The following is a 6,000-nucleotide window of genomic DNA, read 5'->3' on the forward strand; positions in this document are numbered from 1 at the left end:
ATCATAAAACAGTTTCAAAATTAACAGCCATTCAAGCTGAGTGTGGCGGTATGTGCCTATAATCCCAACTACTTGGGAGGCTGGGGTGAGAGGATCACTTGAGCCCAGAAGTTCAAGGTCAGCCTGGACAACATAATGAGACTCCATCTCAAAAAAAAAAAAAAAAAAAAAAACTGTTCCAGTCTACTGTTAAATAATATCATTCACTAGGGAAGCAAAGATGATCAAAGATGCCATACCACTTTAAAATATGGCAGTTTTTCCTTTTCTTAATATGTTGAGTTCAAGTAACACGGACAGCTGTATATATGTATATTTATAAACAATGCACATATACTATCACACCAGTATTATGTATATAGTACACACACACACGAAATGGAAATTTAAAAAGGATACAGTAAAAAATAAATAGAAGTTCTATTGTTTTCTTCATACAGCACAATGAACAAGTTTTTCATATATCCCCAAAAGCACATGCAACCCACTAGGGGGAATCACTGGAACAAACTACTCCAAATCAGGAAACTTGTGGATTTGTATTCTAGTCTCAGCTGTCTTACTGCCTGCCAATATCTTTGATCAAAATCAGTTAAGGGGCTTGATTTGCACTTTAGTTTTCTCTTCCAAAAATTGGAGTATTAATGGTTTTAAAGTTACTTTCAGTATTATGGTTTCATAATCCCACCAGTCTCTCTAATAATTATTCTCTTTTAAAAGAGAAACTCCAACAATTTGGAAAACTAAGTAAGAAACAAGAATGTCTCGCAGTTAACCATCTTACAGGAGGTTATGGTCTTCTCTAAGAAAATTCTAAATGAACAAATGAATAGCTGAAAGAAACAGATCATATCGCTTGCTTTCTTGATGTGAGAAAAATCAAATTCAAGCCTGCATTGTATAAAATAAATTGTCTGAATGAAGTAATTACCTTTGAAACAATCCAGCACTATTTGTATGCCACCCAAAAACAAGAAAATCATAACAACGCTTGTACAATTTTGTACCTAAGATTCTCTGTCAGGTATCTGAGCATTAAAATTTATTTATTTATTTATTTTTTTATTTATTTATTTTTTTTTTTTTTTTGAGACGGAGTCTCGCTCTGTCGCCCAGGCTGGAGTGCAGTGGCGGGATCTCGGCTCACTGCAAGCTCCGCCTCCCGGGTTCACGCCATTCTCCTGCCTCAGCCTCCCAAGTAGCTGGGACTACAGGCGCCCGCCACTACGCCCGGCTAATTTTTTTTGTATTTTTAGTAGAGACGGGGTTTCACCGTTTTAGCCGGGATGGTCTCGATCTCCTGACCTCGTGATCCGCCCGCCTCGGCCTCCCAAAGTGCTGGGATTACAGGCGTGAGCCACCATGCCTGGCTGGCTGATTGCTACATTCTTTAGCAAACTAGGTCTCAGTTTCAAGGATCTCAAAGTAAACCCGAGCAAGATACACTAGGGGAAATGCAACATTGGCTTGAACCCTGATGAAGAATCTATTAAAAAGGGAGAAAAATTTTAATAGTTCTTTCTCCATTAACAGGAGAAGGTAACATCTGTATCTTCCTGACCCGCCTTACTTTCGGTTCAGAATCAACAAAAAATAAAGGATCCAAACAGATGATGGTAAAAATATAACTAAATCCAACGTGCAAAAACCCTTATTACTTCAACTGCAAATTAAACTTACCCAGTTAGAACTGTAGGCATTCCATTTCCTTCTCCCTCATAGTATTAGTAGTCCAGCCTGCTCAGATAAGCCTACCATACAAATGAATAGACAATGTATAGCCTAAGAATTGAGAGTCCCAAAAATTGAATCATAAGGCACTGAACAAAAGTATACTCAATCCCTTCCCTTAGCCTCCCCTGATCCTCCTTTGGGATGGCAACTCAGGGGATGGGAAGAAGCGGAAAGCTATTTCCAAAAAAGAACTTCCTACTTTATGAGTCATGGTAGAAACAAGTAAAGACGAAAATAATGGTTCCCCCTTCAACAAGCACAATCTTCTCAAATATAAAACAAATTCCTCAGAAGTAGTCTTATAACTCTTCAACAGGAGCACCTCACAAACATAATACATATCTCCTCTTCTTTCATTTCCTATTTCAGAGAGAGGCAGAGATTGAATGAACAGATATTAGCCTAGCTTGGCCTGAGATGACTGAGCTAAAATGAAGAAAAGAAAATCTGCAAATTCCCATAGCAGTCCTGATTAAAAACCAGTATTCTATGTAGTCTCTGCACAAGTTATGATAAATTTAGCCACAAAAGGCAGACCTCTTTTTAAAACTGCACAATACACAAATGGGTACTTAATCATTTCATCTTCCTTTTCAAAATTCTCTCCCTTACCTAACTTCCTCTCTCACCCTTATCCCAAGTGAAGACCCCCAACTTGCCCTCTATATGCCTAAAAAACACCTCTTACTTAGCTTTGACCTCTAGCACTCCCATTCCCCATAACCCAACTAGGTATGAATCAGATTATGTGATTAAATTACTTCACATTAATGGGTAAATGAGGCTTAATCCACAAAGGTCAATTCCACACGTCATTAAACTCTACTATGTATAAGGCACTAAGTTTAATCAATTAATATACCTATCCTTCTTACAAGAAAAACTAACACAAATCAATCTTTTAATGAACAATGTAAGGAAGGGGCACAAGAGTGTTTGCTTCACATCACACTTTCTCCACCCAGTTCTTTCCATCCTGTTGCCAAACCCCTCCAATCTCCATCTGGCATGGAATAAAATCCAAGGGATCAGTATTTCTTCCAGTAAGTCAATGCCTAGGAAGACAATGTGGGATAGCACAGCAAACAATAAACATTCAAATCCTGAAATGGACTGTAGAGGGTCTCTTGTATTTAATTTTATATATTAGCTGCAAATACAATAAAGAGCTTCTAAATAATTCAATTTCTGTACAAGATACCTATAAATCAGCTTTGCTCAGAACTCTGAGTTTTTAAACCATAAATACTGAGATGCTTTTTCTTCAGTTATTTCCACAGTTAAAACGTTTATAGTAAATACCAGTTCAAATTGCCCTACTATAACTATACTTAAAGGCTATTAAACTTAACTACTGTTTTCAATTAGATGTGACATTTTTCCCAAGACCCCTTAAGTTTGAAACTCCAAACTTGCTTTAAACCTCCTTTTTTTCCAGTCATAAAATTTATTAATTTTGATTTATAACAGAGCTTCTAAACTGGAGAGGAGAATACAACTATGGACAGGTTTGGATTTGATTCAGTCACATGATATTTTTAATGGTTTTAATTAGTTGTCAATATTTTTAAGACGCAAGACACTGAATGCAAAAATCTAGATTTCCGAGTTCTCTTGAGAATGCTGAAGATGGGGTCCATATTCTTATATAGCACTGATTAGGGGGACCTGAGACTTGGATGTCTCTCTGATAAGGCATAGTGCATTTCCCTCATTTTCATTATCTAACTAGTACCCGAAGGCATGTGAGTTTGTTGCTCATGCTATGGCTTTGAAAGGTGCACAATATTTTCCATATCACTTCCATACTTCCCTAAGTCACCTATTATAAAAAGCCAAAAGCAGACCACAGTGGTTTGCAACTCCATAGTTAATAATTTAAAAAATTCACATGGCTTAGAGGGAGTGAGAAAGAAGAAAATTCAGACTGGTGGAAGGGTAACATAATTACATAGGGTTAGAAGTCTATCTGAAAGCTTTTCTGGGAGTGAGAAAAAAGGTGAACGAACACAAAAACATTGTTGAAACACTAAAAGCTTTCCTGATTGAACACTGTTACTCTCTGGTGGTTCCTTACCACATTCCATGCTTCAGAAACTTCCTTCCTACTTTGTATGTATTAATATAATAGCTGTTAGGTCATACACGCTGAGAAATATTGGGAAAATTTATAAAACACATTTACATCATCAGAAATAATTCTTCTCACACTTTTTTTTTTTTTTTTTTTACCAGTCTTGGTCCACTTTCAAATCCCTTCCCAAGTATTTTCTACTGCTTTCCGCTTTATATTCAAATGACAACTGCAGTCCTGGGTTTCAGGACTGAACTTCAATCCTGGACAGGCTCTCTAATACAGAAACTCTTTTGGCCGTTATGGCTGCATTCTTTATTATATCTCTTATTCCGATTTCCACAGTCTCTTTCATTGAAAATTTATCCCTAACCCCCTCTCTAAAAGATTTTGATCAAATTTGTGTAGTTGGGGGGTTGGGAGGATAGGGGCGGGAAGGAACTCAGTTGTCCAAATACAATTAATATCCTGTGCTGTTTCATTTAGATTGCTAATTTAAATAAAAAGCATGAAAACTCTGCAAGATAATAAATCTTCGTAAAATAATCTTGTTTACTAAGTGCACAAAGCCACAAGCAAGTGAAGCTCTATCTTTCAGCATGTCTGGACTAGTGACTTTTCATCATGGACTCAGAATACTGAGAAAGGAGAAGCAGGAAATCTGTGAGGCCCAGGGACAGTCACACTGGCCCACACTAACAAATTACTAACCGATGTCTCACCTTCCCCCGCCCCATTCCCAAAGATAAGGGTGTCAGGGCACCTGCATCTGAAGAAGAAAGACATCAGAACCTTTTCCGTGCAAGTTTTAAGAAAACAAAGCTTTACCACACGTAAAATGGTTACAACATAAAACCACGCAGCACGTTAGTGGGGTCTCACTCCTCTTCACCCAGAGGGAGGCTGCCCACCACCTTATCCCCTATTGTGATGCGCCTTCCTCAGGATGTCGCTGCGTTCGTCTGAGATGACAGGAAAGGGGCGGGGCACGGGGTTCCTCTGCCCTGGAAAGGGATGAGGGTATCGCCTTCATCCCCGGAGAAAGGCCCCCGGACTCCCAACCCAAAAGCAGCAGCCGCAAAACTCAAGTCTTATCCCGGCCTCTCCTAATTGGGTGCTCGTGGCCGGAGCCCAAAACGCCACCCACGGTACCCGAGCAGGGTCCGGCCGCCCAGACCACCGCCGCAGCAGCCTGGCTCTCACGCCCAGATTCGCCCTCCGCCCCTTTCCTCTTTCGCCCCGGCCAAGCCCAGCCTCCCGCGCCGCCCCCGCCGAGTTCCCCAGCTGAGTCCACTCACTCTCGAACCTGTAGTCCCCCTTCAGTGCCCACACAAGATTGGGGCAAAGGCCGGGGCCAGTGACACCTCCACTTCCTCCTCAGCCAGATCCCTCCGGAGGTGGCTGTGGAGGAAGCCACTGAGGCGGCTGCGCGTAGCGGAGCCGCCCCGGCAGGTTGCAGGCCGGCTCCTCAGCCTCTTACCGCGAGAGCTCACAATGCGAAGAGGCGAGGCCAGCAGCGTTCTCGCGAGAACGGTGCTCTCCGCCCAGGGGTGGGCGGGGCACCGAAGGAGAAGGCAGTTGAGGGCGCGGCGGCCACGGGTGGGATCTCAGGCGCGTGGAGAGGAAGGCGCCGCGCGACCTCTCCTCACAGACATCAGCTCGGGTCAACCGCGGGCCTCGAGCCCGAGTGGCTGAGGGCTGTTACCTTCAAACCTTTGAATCCCACGTTTTCCCCTTGACTTCCTGTCACCGTTAGAGAAAAGTGGACAGCGTCTCGGTCACAGAGTTGGAGAAATAGTGCAGGGACTCTTCAGGGAGAGCGTTTTCCTCATCAAAGCAAACTGCAAAATCGCTTCTGCCGGCGTGGACCTGATGAGAGTCGGTCGTCGTGAGGGACACCCTCTGTTCCCTAACGTCCCCCGCTGCTTATTTTTAAACGCTCGGTTGGCGGGAACCCCTGTGCCAGCTGAAACTCCTTCAGTTTGGCCGCCTAGGAAACACCGAGAGTCACCTACATGGGCTGGCTGGGCAATAAAAACGGGAAAAAATGTAAAAGACACAGTCTCCGCCTTCGAAGCTTACACCCCCGGGGCAAGACCTACAGGAAAATAGATAATCCCATTATTCTCTGATAAAAGCCGAGCTGCTTGCCATGAGCTCTGGGAGCAGACGGGGAGGCCTTGTTGAGAAAG

General features: G+C 42.6%; 1 protein-coding gene across 12 annotated transcripts in view, besides 1 other annotated feature; it reads right to left on the reverse strand.

Moving 5' to 3' along the window:
• Positions 1–5,237, reverse strand: part of BTBD10 (BTB domain containing 10) — a 75,215-nt gene extending 69,978 nt beyond the window's left edge. For 6 of the 12 annotated variants that reach the window (NM_001297741.2, XM_017018409.2, NM_032320.7 and 3 more), the window contains exon 1: positions 5,107–5,237. The gene's annotated coding sequence lies outside the window, so the exon portion shown is untranslated. Of the gene's footprint in view, positions 1–4,636; positions 5,005–5,106 lie in introns of those variants that run through there. The other 6 variants (XM_017018410.2, XM_024448713.2, XM_024448712.2 and 3 more) reach the window with 4 other exon arrangements.
• Positions 5,417–5,606: an enhancer, noted in NCBI's record as "active region_4465". NCBI's record gives its function as "activates an Ori minimal core promoter by ATAC-STARR-seq in GM12878 lymphoblastoid cells {active_cell/tissue: GM12878}" and the evidence as "EXISTENCE:reporter gene assay evidence [ECO:0000049][PMID:35858748]".

The sequence above is a fragment of the Homo sapiens genome, chromosome 11 (assembly GCF_000001405.40).
Source record: "Homo sapiens chromosome 11, GRCh38.p14 Primary Assembly".
NCBI lineage: Eukaryota > Metazoa > Chordata > Mammalia > Primates > Hominidae > Homo > Homo sapiens.